Raw genomic sequence first — 20,569 nt, 5'->3', positions numbered from 1 at the left:
TCAACCTGTTAGGGTTCCTTGTTAACCTATTAAGGGGCTGACTCAGAAAAAGAGGAAAATATAGTGAATTCAGGTTTCTTGTCTCTTGTCCCAGGGGAGCTGTCTTGGGGACACCTGGTCTTTGGATACCTCTGAGGCTGGGATGGGGAAAGGAGAGAAGAGGAACTGTAGGCCTTTCAAACTCAGCCTCTGCTGGAGCCCTGAGGGATGTTCAAGAAGAGGTTGCACTCCACCAGAGTATCTCTTCCCTTGTCATCCCAGACCACACACAATGGATTGCACTGAAGATGTTTCTTTGGCTAAGGTAGTCAGGTGAATATCACCAAGCTGTTCAGGGTGCAGAAACTGAAAGCTGAGACTTCAACTTACTTCCTAATTCCCTGACCTCACCCCAGGGGTGGGGAGTTGGGTTGGTGGGAAGGTACTTACCAACTAAAGCCTGCAGAAGGGCATCTCCAAGGACACTCCCTCTCCCCTGACTCCACCTCCACCACCATCCTTCTCTGTTAGCCTTGCTTTCAAGCCTCCCAGTCTCGTCTCCCACCCATGTCTCCAGTCAAGTCTACTTTTCCCCCAACAGGAGGGAGAGGTTCAGCACCTTGGTCAGTCAGTCCCTGACTCAGGGATGTTCTTTGAGAATCTTTCAAGGTGGAGCCTGCTGGCTCCCGATAAAGCAAGACAGACCCTGGATGCATGAGTAGAGGAAAGATGAGTGTTCGTATTGTAAATCCATCCTCCAGCTGCAAGAACTGTGGCTCCTCAGGGGTAGGAAAGGGCCAAAAATGGCCCGAGCTCCTCAGTCGCAACTTGAACAAAATGAAGTGGAGACAGAATGGGCAGAACTCTGATTTGAAGTTACAAGTGGTACCCTGTTTTTGCTTACAGGTACATGCAAGAGAGAACCAACTAAGCTAGTCAAGTTTATAGATTGAGTACACATGCATATTTCCATGGGAAAAAAAAAAGGTCAGCATTTATTCCTCTAAGACGATGGTTTTCAAATTGTGGTTCCCCAGACCAGCATCAGCTGAGAACTTGTCGAAAATGCAAATTCTCATACTCACCTTAGACCGGCTGAGTGAGAAACCTTGAGGAAGAAGCCCAGCAATCTGTGTTTTAATGAGCCCCCCCAAGGCATTTCTGATGCCCATTTGAGTTTGAGAATCCCAGCAGCAGGACACTGACTCACAAGTCACCCTGCTCATTTTAATCACCTGGGTGGGGAGGGGCTTTAAAACTGCCCACACCCGGCTGAACGTGGTGGCTCACAGCTGTAATCCTAGCACTTCGGGAGGCCGAGGCAGGTGGATCACAAGGTCAGGAGTTCAAGACCAGCCTGACAAACATGGTGAAGCCCCATCGCTATTAAAAATACAAAAATTAGCTGGTCGTGGTGGCGCAAGCCTGTAATCTCAGCTACTCAAGAGGCTGAGGCAGGAGAATCACTTGAACCTGGGAGGTGGAGGTTGCAGTGAGCCAAGATCACACCACTGCACTCCAGCCTGGGTGACAGAGCAAGACTCCGTCTCAAGGAAAACAAAACAAAACAAAACACTACCCACACCCAGGCTCCATGTCTGGTGCTCCTTCTCCAGTGGTCTGGGGTGGAGCCCAGGCTTCTGTAGCTATTTTCACATCCCCTCAGGTAATTTTAATTTGTAGCCAAAAATGAAAGCCAGTGCCCTAAGAAATTTGGCGTATTTTCTGTTTTTTTAAAACCTCAGAGCAACTGGACAGAACATCTTGCTCTCCATTAGCTTTTGTGCTTTCATTCTTTATTCTTACTTTCATTATTGGTTCTTTTTTTCCAATGTTTTGCCCACCTCCCACATCTTACACATATGCTAAATTGTCCTCTCTCCATCCACACCCACTGCCTTAGCTTGGGCTGCCATCACAAAATATCATAAACTAGGTGGCTTAAGTGACAGAAATTTATTTTCTCAAAATTCTAAAGGCTGGAAGTCTGAGATAGGAGTTTGCCAGTATGGGCAGGTTCTGGTGAAGTCACCTTTCTCAGCTTGCAGACAGTCACCTTCTTGCTGTGTCCTCACATGGCACAGTGAGAGGGAGAGGGAGGGAGAGAGAGAGAGAGAGAGAGAGAGAGAGAGAGAGAGAGAGAGAGAGAGAGCGAGCTCTCTGGTGTCTCTTCTTATGAGGATGGTAATTCCACCATGTGGGCCCCACCCTCCTGACCTTGTCCAACCCTAATCACCTCCCAAAGGCCCCACCTCCTAATGCCATTACAATGGGAGCTGGGGCTTCAACATATGAAATTAGAGGAGACAGAGACACAATTCAGTCCATAGTACCCAGAAACTGAAGATATTCAGTGTTCATCCCCTGGTGAAAAAAATATAAAGGAAATTGAATAGGAGAGAAAGAATATATTATTGAAGTCATACAACCTGTAAATAAAATATTTGTTGTTTTAAATAAATAAATGTTTTAGAAGAGAGCTTTTTACCAGATCTCTTAGCATCAACACCCTACCCCATCTACAATTATTAGCTAAGAATTTCTTTGAGCCCAGTGAAATTTTGCCTTTCATAGCTCCTGCACTGTAGAACTTGTGCCAAGGTCCCATTGTGGAGAGAAAACAACACTTCATTACCGGCCCCCTCCACCCCATCTCCACCTTTACCTCCTGGCCTTCACCCTCACCCTTCAGATGTAAAACTGGAGCTCATGCTAGACTGGCAGGCATTCCACCAATGACCCTTTGGCAGAGAGACCCCTGTGAATTCCCAACCTTGGCCAACAGTCCTACTCATTCTTGGCTAGATTTGAAAAGACTCTTTGTGGCATCATTGGGGAATGAGAAAGAGATTCTGGCATCACTGGAGAGTTAAGAGTCTCTGCAGGTGGCAGGGTTTTGAGCCCCTCAGAGGGCAAGTGATGTTTCCCTGCCGCAGCCTTGCCAGCGACCTCTGCTGGGGCATTCTCATGTTCCTGACTCAGAGGTGATCCCTGAGGCCCTCTGATGCTCCTGAGAAGGTGCTGTTGCTTCTGGAAAGTGGAGATTAGAAGACAATTTGAAGGAATTTTCAATGGCTTCTTAAACCTGTTCCTGAAGCAGATTCCCAGTCAATGACAGCTTCACTTCTGAGGGTAGGTTGCATTGCTTCTCTTGCCAAAAACCTACAGGATTCACTCTCAGCTGAGGGTTGGCATAGCTGGTCAGCCTGGCCAGCTTGAGGCTTGTCGTGGTCTGGGAAGCTAGCAGAGGTGAGTAGGGTTTTTGGGCTTGGGAAAAGGCAGAGGGAGGTATCATAGCCCTTCAAGGTGTGGGTCTCTTAAAGGAGGGACAGCTACACAGGAAAGTAAGTGAAGCCGGGCATGGTGGCTTACACCTGTAATCCCAGAACTTTGGGAGGCCAAGGTGGGAAAATCATTTGAGCCCAGGAGTTTGAGACCAGCCTGGGCAACAAAGCACAAAGTGAGGCTCCAACTCTACAAAAAAAAAAAAAAAAATTAGCCAGGCCTGGTGGTGAACACTGTAGTCCCAGCTACTCATGAGGCTGAGGTGAGAGGATTGCTTGAGCCCAGGAGGTTGAAATTGCAGGGAGCCGTGATCATGCCACTGCACTCCAGCCTGGGTGGCAGAGCAAGACCTGTCTTAAATGAATAAATAAATAAGCATTCCTCCCCAAATGCTCCAGCCATGCTTGAGGAATAAGCAATCCAGGGTAGATAGGGCAGAAATCTATTTCTGGGAGTGCTAAGTCATGAAGACTGGATAAGGTCGCAAACCCACACCCCAGCTCACCACTTCCCTTGCCCCCTATAGTATTCTATTTCCTTGAAAAGCCAAAGTGTGGTTGGTACTGCCAATCTGTGCAGAGCAGGGAGCAGGACTTCTCTTTGGCATCAGCAGGAACAACAGTGATATCACAAATACCCTCTTCCCAAAGGCAGGGCCATGGTATGAGATTCTCTCTATCCTCAAGCCATCAAGCAAGGTCCACTACAAGGGTGTGCCATAGTAGTAATGGGGACCCTCCCATTTGAAACTCTTTGTGAGGGCACCTACCCACGCACTCAGAGAAGGAAGAACCACACAAACTACACTGGATTCAAATATTTGGCCCCATCTAGCCTCACAGCAGAGTGGGACATCAGAACCTAAGGGGCAGAATTTCCTTCACTGTTTCTGAGGTCTGCAACCCCAAAGGGAGACTGGAAAGGGCTGTAAGAGGCAAGCCAAAGAAAACCAAGTATCAAGAGCTGGCCTCTGAGGCACAGATTTTAACCAAAAGTGATGGGGGAAAAAACTACACGGAAGCAAAATTCCCCTGAGGAAACTAGCCAAGGCACCAGAAATCTCCCCACCACATCAGTCCTGCAGCTTATACATCTATCTAAGGCAAGACATTTACGAGTGCCAAGGTAAACGGTGAGCTCAAGGGTTCTCGGTGCTCCGCTGAGATGGAAAGCCGTGCATTCTCAGTGACACAGTTGTGGACTTTTCTCTAGAGTCCTTGTCAACAGAGGTAGAGAAATAGAGACAGCATTTGGAGGGGTGTATCTGGGAGCTGGGTTTTTTTCCTGGGCATGTCAAACGGAAAGATGGACATCAAAGCAGTTGAAGATGCCCCAGAGATTATCACAGTAAGGACTCTGGGGCCCAGGCTGGGAGGGCAGTGAGGCCAGGAGAGGACAAATATATTGGGGCAAAATTTACACAGGGAGCAAGGTTTTCAGTTCTTTAGAACTGAGGATGGTGGTAAATTCAGATGCGAGCATATAAGAAGGAGATGGACAGAGAAGAACTGGTTGAGACACCATATTTTAGGTTTCCCGTGTGGAGTACCCTATGCATATTCACACATGTGTACGGCTGGTCCATTGCAGAAGTGAAGATCACTCACAGTCAGGGAATATGAGCCTCTTGTGTTGGACTCCTAGTTGGATCAGATGCCCCCAGGTTGTCCAGGATGAGTCCAGTTTATACCTGTTGCCCCAGAGTGATTATTAATTGTGTGTCTGGCACTTTCAAAAGCATCCAGGTTTGAATGACTAACTTATATAATCCCTTTCCTATGCAGCAAATTCTTTGGGCAGCACTGGCTTCATGAGAATTTGGCCTGTGCAGTCGCATGGGACCCTGCTCTCACAAGGAGTCCATGGCTGGTTTAATGCTCTGCTGTTGCCATCTTGCAATTCTTATAATTTCATCTTTGGACTTGTGTTTTGTGAGTGCAGTCTGATGGTACACTGGAGCACAAGCATGGGCAGAGGAGATATGCCAGGCAGTAGGGCATGCAGCATGGGCCCAGGCCCACTGTCCAGCACACACGTGGGCGTAGGGCAGCCTGAGGCACTGTGAGACTTTGAAGGGACAATTGGAACCAGAGCATGGGCCCAGATTGGTGTTGGCTAAGGCAGCAGCAGCAGTAAGAGATACTGGCCATATCTCAGAGACAGGAGGGGCTAGACTGGAACCCCAGTGGGACATGTCTCCTCATCAGTACCCAGAGCCCATTTCAGGGCATCTGCACTTTGGCCTAAACTATGGGACAGAAACTTTCCATGCTGGGGCAGTAAACTTTGGTAGCTACAAACTGTACATTTATCACAAAACTGTACTCTTATTACCAAATAAAAATGCAACAAAGACATTGCAATAAAGCATATCAAGGAATTATTAGAGCTCTTCAAAGAGTTTAGAATATTTGCTTTTGAAAACTGCTACAAGATTGCAAAATGAATATCCACAGGCTTAGAAATAAAAATTAAGATAAACTATTGTCATATTCAATGAAAAAGAATACTATCTTCCTATGAAGCTTCAGATAAACCAATTATTAATGAGGAAGACATTTTAAAATTAACTTTCTTTTGTGATAGAAGATACAAGGATATAGCATTAATGTATAAATGGGTATTTTAAATTATAGACAAACCATAAAGACATTTTGTTTCCTGTACAACTTCCACAAATTACAGAAAATGTCAGAGGAAACATTAAAATACCATTGTTTACATTTACATTTGAAATTATACAACTTATGTGAAATTAAGTTGTATGACAAGTTAAATATTTTTAGAAAAATTGTTTCTTAAGAAGCATCAGTTCTAGATGTACTAAAATTTGTATTTTGAAATAACTTATCATAAATTTAATGTTGTCACAATCTAAAAAATAATCTTAATATTTCCAGGAATAATCACATCTGTAGAATGATCCTTCTCAAAATTTAAAATTACCAAAAATTATCTTTGTGCACTTGCCAAGAGCAACTGACATTGCTTTTAATTATATTAATTGAAAATTAATTGTTTTTAAAGTGGCTAAAGCTATACATTTTAATGACCTGACAAACATATTTTTGGAAAAGTGATCCAGAAAAATATTATGATCAATCAAAATACCACCTTAATAATACTTAATAAAGTATTATTGCTTATTGTATTATATAAAATTATGATACCATAAATAGGTTTGGGGAGCAATTTATAGGTTTATAATGTTAGTCATGAATTATTATTACATCATTTCATTTGATAAGTAATATGATACCTTAAAAAAGCAATCTTTATATTTTAGTACCTTTAATGACACTTTTTTCTTGCTTTTTGAACAAAGGCCCACCCCATCTGCATTTTGCACTTAGTCCTACAAGTTATACAGCTGGCCCTGTCTTGGGTACTGAATTCACCAAAGATAATTCTATGGTATGGTGTGATGTGGTATGGTATGGAAATGTGCCCAAATACCTTGTGAATGTCAGGGAATACGGAAACCCAGCAGGGAGGCTAGGCAAAGGAATAGCAGGTCCCTCGAAGCAGGAGGGCTTGGGCCCTGGGAAATGGGAGCCTGTACTTGAGCAGTCATCTGTGTCTTCAGGCAGAGCAGAAGGCAGTTAAGGTAAGGAGAGGAGAGAAGCGTCTTTGTGGAATCCCGGGTCACCACTTTTGATGGGTTGGGTTTCCTCTCAGCAAGGGTCAAGTGAAAATGCCCCCAGATAGGATTAATTATCTGTGCTCAGCCACAAAGGAATTACCTCAAGGATGGGTGGGAGGAATCAATCAGGAAGTTTAACTTTTAATTTTATTAGGGCTTGTCTCAGTCTGTTTGTGTTGTTATAAAGGAATACCCAAGGTTGGACTGTCTCTCTTTCTCTCTCTTCTGGCACTGGTGCAGAAAAACCATTAAGTTAAGCAAGGAAAAGTTCTTAGTGATCTTTAGAGTCCTCTATCCTTGGCCAGGGTTGAGGATAGGGGTACAGAGTTCAGCAGCTCATAAATGGGCCAATGTAGTATAGCAGGACACTCTGGTCTGGGATCCCTGGATTCTGGGGGTATTTGATAAGACACTGAGGCCTTGCCCAGGCCTCATTGTTCCCAATCTTTATTTTCTTGATGTAAACTCCCTGGGACATTTGGGGGGTTCCTGTGGAGATACTCTGTTTGGAAATACTGAGAACAGTCCTGTAAATATTCATCACTTAGAACTGGAGTGTTGTGAGGCAGGACCCAAGAATGACCACATTTGCTTGTTACTGACATCAGGACCCCTCTGAGGGGTCTTCAGTTGGTTTGGGGGAGTGATAAGAAAAAGAAGATAGTAAGAAGATTTGAGAGGGCATGGAGCATGAAGAAAGAAGATGAGACTCCTGGCATTTCATCTATGGTGGGATAGGATCAGGTCAGGGAGGGAGACTGGTGGCTGGGGATTGAATGCGGCTCCTGAGGAATCCAACCAAGAACAACAAGTCCCCAGGGTAATGACAAAGCCCCCTTTGGACCCCATGCATAGTGCACCCCTATGCTTTCTTTGCTACCTTCTGCGCTTCACCCACACCCTACTCTAGCACCTCTATGGTAGCAGGTCTCCCAGTCCAGGGCTGTTTATACCTGGCACCAGGCCCATGAGGTTCATTTTCAAACATGGAGATATTTACACAGAGCAAGAGGAAAAACACATATCGGGTTTCACCCTGAAATCCTGGTGCCTGACCCAGGTCTCTGTCCTCTGCCTCTACCCTAGACATAGACACACACACACACACACACACACACACACACACACACACGCACATTCATGTATACCACACCTGTATGCACATGCACATGCACCCACACAACACATACACACTGATATGGTTTGGCTGTGTCCCCACCCAAATCTCATCTTGAATTCCCAGGTAATTGAATCATGGGGGCAGGTCTTTCCTGTGCTGTTCTCATGATAGTGAATGAATCTCTCAAGATCTGATGGTTTTAAAAAGGGGGGTTTCCCAGCACAAGCTCTCTTCTCTTGTCGGCCTCCATGTGAGACGTGCCTTTCACCTTCCGCCATGATTGTGAGGCCTCGCTAGAGATGTGGCACTGTAAGTTAATTAAACCTCTTTTGTAAATCGCCCAGTCTTGGGTATGTCTTTATCAGCAGTGTGAAAACGAACTAATACACACACAGAACCAGGAACTCTTTCCCCTTATCCCATGAGAACTCAGGCCAGGAACCACTGTCCTGGGGGAAATGAAGCCGGGCAAACTAGAAATCACCCTTCCTTCTAACTAGCTTTATATCCAGAGAGTTTTGAAATAACCAACAATATGAGGGAAAATAGTAGCAGGTGATAATTTTTCTCTGCTTCCCAAAGTGTAGATTGCCTGTGTTTCTTCTAATAGCTAGTCATGCGCCACTTAACAATGGGAATACATTCTGAGAAATACATCGATAGGAAATTTGATTGTTGTGTGAAACTCATATAGTGTGCTTACACAAACCTAGATGATACAGCTGCTACACACCTACGCTATATGGTACAGCCTATTGCTCCTAGGCTGCAGTGCATGCCACCACACCTGGCTAATTTTTGTATTTTAGTAGAGACAGAGTTTCACCATGTTGGCCAGGCTGGTCTTGAACTCCTGACTCAAGTGATTTTTCTGCCTTGGCATCCCAAAGTGCTGGGATTACAGGCATGAGCCACCACGCCTGGCCAATTACTGTGATTTTTATCAGAGTTAAAAACAAACAGTTTTGCCCCAGGATTCAGAGAATATTTGGAATTTTATCCCTGGGTTATCTTATCATTATTTTTCTCCTTCCCTCTGTCCTGTGACAGCTCAGAAATCTCTAAATGCTTTTAATATTGTGGTTCCAGGTAGACAATGTCATGCTAAGTATTCAGCCTCGGGACTAGGTAACCTCTGTCTTCTCCCAGGCTTGTTAAGGGCCAAGAGATGGACAGAGAGTGAGAAAGATATCTTGGTAAAGCAGACTCAGGGACATTGGTCCAGCTATTTGCTTCCATTTTCCCTCTAGTGGGCTGAACTGGTCTTCAACAGCTAGTCACAGTCACTTCTTCCATACTTGTCCAGCGTGGGACCCCTGGCTGGGGTCCTTAAGATCATAGGGTCACAGATGAGAAACAGCATATTGGAATAAAGTCAGCAGACCTGCAGCAGTGTGCAATGCCTCCCACAGGGAATAAGGATTTTGCCCCTAGGTTGGGGATGTTGGTACCAATGTTTGGAACCCGAATTGCCCCAAAACCACTTACAGTATGCCCTTGGATCCTAACATTGTGACTGGAGGAGATGATCTGGCAAAAGGCCAGAGTGTTCTGTGGAGCTGGACTGAAGTCATGAACTTCATGCCAGACTCCATTTGGGTAACCATATTACACAACTCCATTAGGGTTACTGTTCACATGCCCAAATTCAGCAAATTTGCTCAATTATTGTATTCTTAAAATTTCTAGACATTTTATTTGTTTATCTGTCACATTTGGGAGGTAATTGTTGTAGTTTGCTGTTCCCTGTAGATATTTTCAAAGTTGTCTTTCATTTACTTAAATAAAATAAAAAGATCATTTTGGCTGGGCTTGGTGGCTCACACCTGTAATCCCAGAACTTTGGGAGGCCTAGGTGGGCAGATCGCTTGAACCCAGGAGTTTGAGACCAGCCTGGGCAACATGGTGAAACTCTGTCTCTACAAAAAAATACAAAAATTAGCTGGGTATGGTGGTGTGCGCCTGTGGTCCTAGCTACTTGGGAGGCTGAGGTGGGAGGATCATCTAAGCCTGGGAGTTTTAGGCTGCGGTGAGGTGAGATTGTGCCACTGCACTCCAGCCTGGGCAATAGAGTGAGATCCTGTCTCTGAAAAAATAAATAAAAAAGATTGTTTTATAATCAGTGTCTGATAAATTGCAGTGTCTGAAATCTCTCTCTCTCTTTCTCTCGCCTTCTTCCCTCCCTCTCCCTCTTGTGGATGTCTGATCTTATTTATTTGCTACTCTTAGAAAATCTTATTTTTGACTGGACTCAGAGGTAGAAGCTTTCAGAGAAAATAGCCTCGGTCTGTTGGCAATCTCTTTCTAGTGTTTTTCTTTGACCTCCTTCATTTCCTTGGCCAAAAGTTTAGCATATTCTACAGCTTCTTCCATGTATGTATATATATACATATATATATATTTTAGCATGCTCTTTCCTTGAAGCAATATGCTGATGTTTGAGTTGCCAGACATGTGGAGTAACACAATGGGGAACCTTGGGTGCTTTGGTCCTGGGTTTCTTACTTTCTTTATTGAGGAGTTTTCTCACAATGTGCAGGAGAACATCATGTTCCTTAGAGAGGTTGAAACATTTGTAAATTCTCTTAGCTCCTGTGGACCCCAGGTGATGAGGCACAGTTGTATTAGTCAGTCCAGAAATATACTTCCCTTCTTCTTTTCTTACTTTCTTTATTTCTTTTTTTTTTTTAAATCACTAACTTGAGAACATGCAGATTGGCATCCACAATGCAACCCCAAACAGATTTGTGCTTTCTTTATCTAGTTATTGGTCTATTACAGAAATGCTCTTTCTCAACAGCAGGCAGACGTGACCATGGATAGGGACACCTGTTTTACGGGAAACCTTGTTTGTTGTCTCCACCACTGATTCAGACCACATAACACTTCCACTATTCATTGAGAGTATCAGCATCCACATCTGTAGCCACATGCTTCTCAAAAAAGTTACCAAGAAATATTTAAATAAAAATGTTATCGCCTTAACATGCTTTAAATTCAAAAGGATAAAATTACTAAACTTGCTTGAAAGATATTAAAGAAGACCCTAAATACAGGGAGAGATGTACCATGTTCATGAATTGGAAGAGTTGGTATTGCAAAACTGTCAATTCTCCCAAAATGTATGTAAACATTTAAAGCAATCGTGATCAAATTCCCAAGGAGGACTAGATCTTCACACTCTACCTCAGTCTTACCTACTTTCCATTCTTCTTTTGCCTTCTCTCCAATGTGCTTTCCAAATGAGGGGTCTTAAATAATTTTAAAAGGCTGCATCTCTCACCAGCAGGATTCATCTCTTCATTATCTCTCACATCTGTTTCCTTGTTGCCTTCCCCATGGTCACTACGACTACTTCTTGTCCTTGGCCCAGATGAACTGATTTTTGGCACCTGGGAGGTTCTCTGAGTGATGGAGCCATTGCTTTTGGCTTAGAAATGTTTGTCTTTCCCAACCTGGGCAACAAAGTGAGGCCCTATCTCTACATGAAATAAAAATAAAAATTAGCTTGTCATGGTGGTGCATGCCTGTAGTCCCAGCTACTTGGGAGCTGAGGTGGGAGGATTGCTTGAGCCTGAGAGCTTGAGGCTGCAGTGAACCATGATTGTGCCACTGTGCTCCGGCCTGGGAGACAGAGTAAGAACCTTCTTTAAAAAAAAAGAAAGAAAGAAAGAAAGAAAGAAATGTTTGTCTTTAAGGTTAGAAGGAAAGAAAGGATCCAAGCAGCACACACTTGTGGGAAATGGGGCAGAAGTAAGACAAAGACAAGAGGTGAGGGGGGAAAGAAACATACAGATGCATTTGGTGTTGAAGTCCTTCTGCTCCTCCACCCTGGAGTAGTAACTTACATTCACTGATTTCCAGGAAGGATGAGGAGCCAACTGAGGTAGAATAAACAAAAAACCCCACCACTATGTGGGAGACTGCTTGCAAAGATGGCTGCAAAATGTCACTCTATCCCTGTGTGAGCTTCCTCTGAAATGTAACTTTGCTGTCAACCCATCAAGAGGTGGACTTTATTTCCTTTGAATCTGGGCTGTTCATGGGACTTGCCTTAGCCAGTTAGAAAGCAGAAGTAGCACCGTGTGACTTCTGACTCTAGGCCCCCCAGAGGCCTTACAGCTCCCACCTCTGTCCTCTAGGAAAGCTGCAGTCACCATATGGAAGATGAGAGACACAAGGAGATAAAAAGACTTGACTGACAGTTGACACCAACTCTCAGACATGTAAGGGAGGCCACCTGGACCCTCAGGCCCTCATCAAACCATCAGACGATTCCTGGAACCACATGAGTCACCCGAGAGAAACCACCCAGCTAAGCTGACCCACAGGGTCATGAACAAATAAAGTGGTTGTTGTGTTAAGCCAACTAACTTTATAGCCATTTGTTTCCTGGTAATAGATAGATAACTGATACAAAGTCTATCCTCAATTGGCATTCACTGGGGCCAGGAAAAAAAGGAACAGACAGAGCGAGTTAGCAGGGTTCTGGATCAGGTGCCTGATGGGATGCTGGCTCTGAAGATGTCATGCAGCTAGCACTTCAAACCCACTTCAAGGAAGGAAAGCAATTGTGTGGGGATGGAGAACCTCTATTGCTCTGTGACACAATGGGTCCCAGTGAGGCTTGGCAGTGCTCTCCTGACTGGGCACAGCAGAGTGAAGGAGGGACTCCTTTCCAGCCTGAGGTAGTGCTTATAATCCTGAGAGGGCCAGAGCATCAGTGTCCAGAACCTCTCAGCAAAGGGCACAGTGTACAGGGATGGGAGGAATTTGTGTGGCCACCTTTTGCCATAAAGCTGTCACCATGTCCCCATTCAGGTGGCCCTTTAGAGGCAGGCAGATGTGACATGTGCAGTGTGTATGGCCCTCCAGCTATGGGAGTCATGATTGGGACTGATTTGCGGCTATGTGTGGACTTTATTTGGTGGTTCCAGAAATGTGTGGGAAACATCAGCTTTCATGGACCCAAGCAAGACGGGGCTTGTGTGTGAATGGACTTTGCACTCCTGACACTGAATCCAGTGGCAGGGGGTGGGCAGGAGGAGACAGAGGATGCTCGGGTGGCAGGTACTAACTGGCCATGTATGAGACCACACATCCGGAACTTCATGCCGTCCTCATATCGACGTTATGAGATAGGCATTATTATGACTCCAGTTCAGATGAGGAAACTGGTTTAGACAGGCTGTGTAATGTGCCCAAGGCCACCCAGCTCATTCGTCTGGAGGTGAAACTCCAATCTGGCTCGAACCACTATTACATACTGTCTTCCGAGGAGTGGGTTGTTTTCCTTTTTCATTTCTAAGAATGTTTGCCTCAATTAGGCAGTGTTGTTCACTGTAGTAGTCTGTCCTCACACTGCTGTAAAGAAATACCTGAGACTGGGTAGTTTATAAAGAAAAGAGGTTTAATTGGCTCACACAGGCTGTACAGGAAGCATGGCTGGGGAGGCCTCAGGAAACTTACAATCATGGCAGAAGGTGAAGGGGAAGCAGGCATGTCTTACATAACAGGGACAGGAGGAAAAGGGCAAAGGGGGAGGTGCTGCACATTTTTAAACAACTAGATCTCGTGAGAGCTCACTCACTATCATGCAAACAGCAAGGGAGAAATCTGCCCGGTGATCCAGTCACCTCCCACCAGGCCCCCTCCTCCAGCATTGGGGATTACAACTGGACATGAGATTTGGGCGGGGACACAAATCCAAACCATATCACTCACCAAGTAGTCCTCAAGGTCACTCTGACAGAAGGACTGCGGCTGAATTTCACATTTTAGGAGGTTGGGTGGAGTTCCAGTGGTGACCACGAGGTGGTGTGGTCACCAGAAGATGCAGCGGCGTCATGTCTGCATTGTGGGATAGGGGACTGCCTTGTCCCTGTTCTCGGAAGGCCTTTCTTCTCTGCAACTTGACAAAGGCAAAGAAAAGCATCCCAGACAATGCATACCACCCCATCTCTCATTATGGCCTGCTCCCCATGTTTGGCAGAGTCCTTTAACCCAGGGGAAGAAATCATATTGACAGAGAGGTCATGACCCAAGAGAATACAAAGGATTTCTAGACTTCTGCAAAGAAATGCTTTATTGGATAAGAATTTTTTTCTTTACAGGAAGTGGCCCATTGAAGTACAGACAGAGGGGCGGTGTTCAGACCATTCCAGTGCGGAGCTGCTGAAACATGGGCCTCCTTGGCCGTTCTTCCTCCCATACTCTGTAGAGTGTACCTGACACACAGCTGATTTCAGTAAATGTTTGGATAAGTGATAACATAGACTATAATGAAAACATCAATAGTGATAACAATGAACTCATATTGAACATGTAAAATATGCCATGGATGGCCATGTATTTGTTCATTTAATTCTCACAATCATTCCATGTTAACAAACAGGTTAAGTCACTTGCCCAGGGTCCCGTGAGTAGTGGGAGAGATGAATGACTGATTGAACGATGGGGATAAATGGCATTGTTGTTGTGTGCTTTCAGGTCCAGCCTCAGTTTGTGTAACAGAAGAGTTAGGGAGAAGGGAGGCCACCGCAGGAGCCGAGAGACATGGGGAGGCAGAGTTTCTCTGACAGGTGGGCAGGCGGAGGGTGGGAAGGAGCAAGGAGGGTGGGCAGGGTGGCTATGCGTGTGGCACTGCAGCAGGGCGAGGGGGCAGGGCACCGTGTTCTCACCTCATGACCCAACAGGAGCCCAGGCAGCACCGAGTGCATGTGAGACAAACCCATTGTGGGCCATTTATGGATTAAAGCCATCTTGTTGGTTAGGGCAAATACTTGAGTGAGAAATCACGGGAAGATCGCCAGCCTCAGCTGCTTTGCAACTGGACACATCCAGAGGCTCTCCTGCCCCCTGTGATGTGGAAGGAGCCAGGACAAAGGATGTGCCCTCCTTAAGGCCCCTTCTTCAATGGTAGATAAATCACCCAAGAATGGGCCCCTTTCCCAAACTTTGCACTTCCTTTTTCAGCTGGGTGCCGGAGAGATCATTCGTTTCTTCCTAGAACTTTGTCAGCAACTGGAATGTGTTGCCACGAGAAGAAAGGCCGTAGGTGCTCAGTGTCTACAAGCTTTGCCTTGGGCGACCTTGCCCTGTGTCTGACTCCTCCTGCTCTTCTTCCTGCAGGCTCCATGTGTGCCTCTGTCTCCACGGCCTGTCTCAGTGGATCAGTGATTCTGGCCCCAACTCACTGCTGCTTTTTCTCTGAGCGCCAGATTTGTCTCTTCCTCCACCTGGGCCAGAGCTGTTCATAAGCTCATTGTACCTGCAAAGGCAGCCACCTGAGCCAACGTGGCAGGGGCAGGTGTCTGTACCCACAGCGTCTGAGCCGGAGGTGGGCAGTCCTCCTCCCACCAGGAGAACCTCCCTCAGCCTCCTCCTTGTGGCTTCCAGGCCTGGCCCACGGACCTGGCCGTGGGAATCTTAGTAAAGTGTGTGCTTTCCTTTTCAGTTGCAGTTCTTAGAAAAACAGTGCCCAGATGTTATCTAAGCAGGTAGTAGAAATACCAACCAAGGTCAAGTCATCTCAAACCACACACGTTTGTCAGCTGCCCTTGTACTTGACAGGCGAGCTCTGCAGAAGTTGAACTGTAGCCCTACAGCCCTGGGGCTGTTAAGTAAAGCCCAGGTCCCAGGTCCCGCCCCTGCTGTTTCTGGCTGGTCTGCCAGTCTCAGTTGGCTCTGTCTTCTTCCCCAGCTCCCTGGACTCCCTGTCCTTTCTGGTCACATACGATCCAGTTCAGCCCAGGCCTGTCCTGCCAAGCACTGTCTGGCTGGGGTCCAGCCCCTTCACTGGTGTTTAGCAGGATCCTCCTTCCTTTGTACACAAAGCCTCCTTTCTGCTCAGCCTTTTTCAATAACTACCCAGGCACCATCTGCCCCAGATTTGAAACCTGGGAGCGGGTCTGCTCAGACTTAACTCTTGAAAAATCCTTGCCCTCCCCCACCAACAGAACAGATACAAGGCACTGAGCCAGCCTCTGGCATTTGTACCTCCCTCATTCCAGGTCCCAGTCACCCCTGTCCCCACCTCCCTGGGTCTTCCTGATTCTCTGATCCTCTGCACAGCCCCAGCTGTGGGGCTCACTGGCTGCTTACCATCTCCACTGTTCCTCTCCGCCTGGTCACCATCTCCGTCCTCCCCGTGTTCATGCCAATCCATTTCCACTTCTGTCTGAGCTTCATCCTACTCATCAGCAGGTGACTCTGAGGGTGACTTACTGAAAAGACTGGGGCCATCTGACATGAGATTGTCCACATTCTCCCCTTGGACCTGAACATTTTCCACACTTTCTCCCTCCCTCTCACTTCAAAGAAAGAACTACCCTCTACCTCTCCAAGGCTTTCACTAGCATTGGTTCTTCTAGGGGAAGAAACAGACTGTTTGGGGTTCAAATCCTAACTTTACCATCTTTTACAGCTATGGGTCCTTGGGAAAATTATTTGACTTCCCTGTACCTCAATTTCTTAATCTGTAAAATCAGGATAATACTCCCTGCTTCCCAGTGTGTGTGTGTGTGTGTGTGTGTGTGTGTGTGTGTGTGTGTGTGTGTGTGTGTATGTGTGTTTGGATTCATGTACTGCATGCAAAAACCTTGACACTTAGTGGGCCTGAGTTACAGCACATTATTTCTGGTCCTGCTCCCTCTGACACCTCTCCTCTGTAAAGGCACAAATATTCTACCATCCAATCAGCATGCATTTATCAAGCATCTGCTCTGAGTCAGGCCCTGTTCTAGGTGCAGGGGGTACAGAATTGAGACAATCATTCCGGATTTGTCACCTAATAGCCACACACCCTTTTCCTCCTTGATCTCAGGGTCTCATTTTGTGAACCCATCAGGGAGTGCGTGCTCTAGGAAGCTGAGTTCGTCCTCCCGTCCAGGGAGAAATCATGACTGATCAGAGCCAACTGTGCTCATCCTCTTCTACTTGGGTTTAGGGGTGGGCCCTTGATCTTGTCTGGCCAGGGATATAAAAGGGGAAGCTGACTAGGGATTCTGGAAGATTCTAAACAGATGTGAAGATCAAAGTCCTTTCTCTTCCTTCTGACATGGTTGAGTTGGATGTGAAGGCTGGAGCTGCAGCAGCCATTCTTTGGTGTGAGAAGAACAAATGTCAACCCCAGGCTCTGATGTTGCTGAGCTGCTGAATGTGCATTTATGTGGGGACACAGATATCCTTGATTGTCTAAATCACTTTTCATTGCTTCATCTGTCACATGCAGCTGAAAACATCCTGCCACAAGCAGGAAGCAAGATGGATATGGTCCCAGCCATCGGTTAGCTAATATTTGTCAGTAGGGAGATAGAAAATAAATGAGAAATAAATACATAGTATTAAAGTAAAAACCAGTAATTGCTATAAAGGGGACTAATAGAGGCAAGGGGACCCAGCCTGATGAAGGAACACAGACTTTCTAAAGAGGCAGCGTTCGGACAGAGGCCTGAATGAAGTGACATCATAGCAGATGAAGATCTCCAGGCAGGGGAAACAGCACATGCAAAGCCCTGGAACAAACTGGGACCTTGGAAGAATACCAGTGTGACTGGAGCAGGGGACACCAAGGAGGGAGGGACTAGATCTAACCAGGGTTAGATCACAGGCGATCAGTGGGCACCCACAGATAGGTCCTGAACAAGGGGATTGCACGATCTGCCTTTGGTTTTCGAAGGACAGCTTGACTGCTGAGTGGGGAATAGGCTGGGTCATCAATCATTAGAGCAGGACTAGCCAGGAAACTCCCTCAGTGGTTCAGGCGGGGGAATGATAGTCCCAGGGGAGGGTGAAGAGGGATGGTGAGGAGCGTCAGATGTTTTAAGCAAAACCTGCCAATTGATGTGATGTAAGGACCCAGGGGAGTCAAGGGTGGCTGTTTTTTTTGTTTTGTTTTGTTTTTTGGCATGGGAAATTAGGTTTATGGTAAGAACATTTATTGAGATAATTAAATTGAGGAGGGAGCAAGGGTTTCTTTTTGGTGGGAGAGACGATTTGAAAATCAACAATTCTCTTTCAGATATGCTTAAATTTAAGTTTCCTATTAGACCTCAGGAAGTGAAGACATGTGGGCAGTTGGTCAAAAGAATCCAGAGTTTAAATTGGAGAGACAGGTGCTCTTTGTAAATCTGAATTTGGGATTATTGCCTATGATGGTAACTAAAACCATGGGACTTGCTGAATGTCGGGGAGGAGTGGGGATAGAAAGGGAAGAGAAGAGGCTGAGGAAGAAACTCCCAGGAATCCCATGTTTAGAGGGCAGTGCGGGAGGAAGCAGGTGAGAAGACAGAGTGGCCAGCGGGGTATAAAGACAGGAGCGTTCGTTCTAGAAGCCAAAGAAATAAAGCGTTGTGAGGAAACAGGGCTGATCCAATGCTGCTAGCAGGTCAGGGAAAATGAGAATTGAGACTGACTCTTGGATTTAGCATCCTAGACAGAGTCCTTTCAGTGCTTTTGGGGGCAGGAGGAGCCTAATTTGAGAAGAACCAGGAGAGAGGTGATAAGGGAACACAGATAAGGGAACAGATAAGGGAACAGATAAGGGAACACAGGGAGGTACGTGGGTTTAATGTGGGAGCACAAAGGAGTTCTCCTCTGACAGCTTCTCCTTCCTCAGTGAGGCATGAGGTTACCGCTCAGCATCGGGCAAGGAGAAGGCATGGCTGCAGCCTGGGAGAACTGAAGAGACATGCAGAGGGACAGCTAGGAGGTGCGAGGGCCACCAGTGGGCTGCAGCCATGAGTGGGGAGCAAGATGAGGCAGCACAGCAGGGGTTTGTGACATTCTTCAACATGGCTCAGCTGCTTGGACACAAACAGGAGGAGGGGAAACCTGAATTTAACTAGAATTTGGTCCCCCTGCCCCAGTTAAGTGTGAGAGAAGCAGTGGGGTTGAGAGCAGATGCAGTGGTGGCAGATATATAGCGTTCACTGTGGCAGGCAGGGTCTCATTGTTCTACAGTACTTGCTTACCAGACCTGTGGGTCTCAAACGGATCTAGGAGTAGGTTCCATTATCATCTCCATTTTACGGGTGAGGAAACAGAGGCACAGAGGAGAAATAACTTGCTCAGATAGCACAGCCAGTATGTTGTGGAGCCAGAATATGACCCAGGTGGTCTTGGTTGGACAATCCCTGCTCTTAACCCTGTGCCACGTTGGTGCTTGCCCTCCTGGCTACATGCAGGGGAGTGATTTCAGTGAGGCGATATAGGAATGCAGCTGATGTAACAAAATGCAATGGCTCAGATTAAATAGATTTCCTTTTCCTTAATACCCCAGGGAAAATGTTCTAGGTGGGTGCAAGTTAGGGTCCCAGGCTTCCAAGGTCACTGTGGTTATCATCACTGCCATTCTGAATCCCCCTCCTGTGCACACATCCTATCTACTCATGTCCCATTGGCTGGAACTCTGTCACATGACTCCACCTAGCTGCAAGGGAGGCTGGGAAGTGTGGTCTGGATGTGTGCCCAGGAGGAAGGGGAAAACAGATGCTTGTGCATGCTTAGGAGGAGTTCCTGACACATGGACCATGAACTCTAAGCTGGAGAGTGAGAGAAGTACAGAACAGTGGAAAAGTGGTAGGGTTCATGGATCATGGATGGGAGGTCTTGATGAGCACAAAAAATTGTCAGGGTTGGGTAACTTGAGGGAATAAGCTGGACAAATATGAGTCAGTGGCTGGTCTGAGCCTAGGATGTTTGAGATGTAAGTTTTGCAGATAGTACAGCAAAATTTCCTTGTAATGACAAAGATTGAGTTATGAACACAGGAGTAGATGGCTGAGGTAGAGTGAGGAAGGTGGAGTGAGGAGATCAAAGATGTGTTGACGTTATAAAGAAGCAGGGCAGGATAGACCACAGGGAATCCAGAGCTGACAGCTCCAGTAAAGGAACAGGCCCTCTCTAACATTTGCAGGACCCAGGGCAAAGAATGCAAGTGGAGGCCCACGTATGTTAGGTCTAAATATTTAAAAGTTATGAGTCAAGCCATCAGGCTTTAAATAAAAATCTCTTTAGATATGTCTGTCTTCTTACCTTGGTAAATGTACCTTCATAACCTCCTGGAAGATTAAATGTGAAATGATAATTCTAACTCTTTGGAATTTATGCACTTTTAGCCCCAGGCCATGGGTCACTACTCTTCCAAGTCTTCCCCACACTCTCAGGGGCTCTAGGTCCTCACGGCCAAGCTCCAGCCACATCCACATCTAGAGGACAGATGCAGGGAGGAGGCAACCCACACAGGTCCTGAAATCTGGCGTAGTGCTGGTTGGGCAGAGCTCTTGGAGCAGAGCCCAGAGGAGGGGCACAGGGGCTAGCACATCACTGGTTTTACCATGTTTCCCACCATTCAGAAGCAGCTGGTTTAGAACAGTGGGATGGCCTTTTGAAGACTCAGTTACAACACCATCTAGGTGGCAATGCCTTGTAGGGTTGGGGAAGCATTTTCTGGGAAGCTCTATATGCTCTGAATCAGCATTCATTAAAGGTGCTCCTTCTCCCATAGCCAGGTTTCATGGGCCCAGAGTCAGGGGGTAGAA

At 46.2% G+C, this 20,569-nt stretch overlaps 1 pseudogene, besides 1 other annotated feature; it reads right to left on the bottom strand.

Annotated features, from left to right (window-relative positions):
* RPS6P14 (ribosomal protein S6 pseudogene 14) lies at positions 10,263-10,969 on the bottom strand (annotated as a pseudogene).
* Positions 15,385-15,885: an enhancer, noted in NCBI's record as "H3K4me1 hESC enhancer chr10:49495838-49496338 (GRCh37/hg19 assembly coordinates)". NCBI's record gives its function as "activates a minimal SCP1, AML or CMV promoter by ChIP-STARR-seq in primed H9 embryonic stem cells {active_cell/tissue: H9 hESC(primed)}" and the evidence as "EXISTENCE:reporter gene assay evidence [ECO:0000049][PMID:30033119]".

Source organism: Homo sapiens, chromosome 10, assembly GCF_000001405.40.
Source record: "Homo sapiens chromosome 10, GRCh38.p14 Primary Assembly".
Classification (NCBI taxonomy): Eukaryota; Metazoa; Chordata; class Mammalia; order Primates; family Hominidae; genus Homo; species Homo sapiens.
The sequence above is the reverse complement of the archived record's forward strand: the minus strand, read 5'-3'. Positions and strand labels throughout refer to the sequence as shown.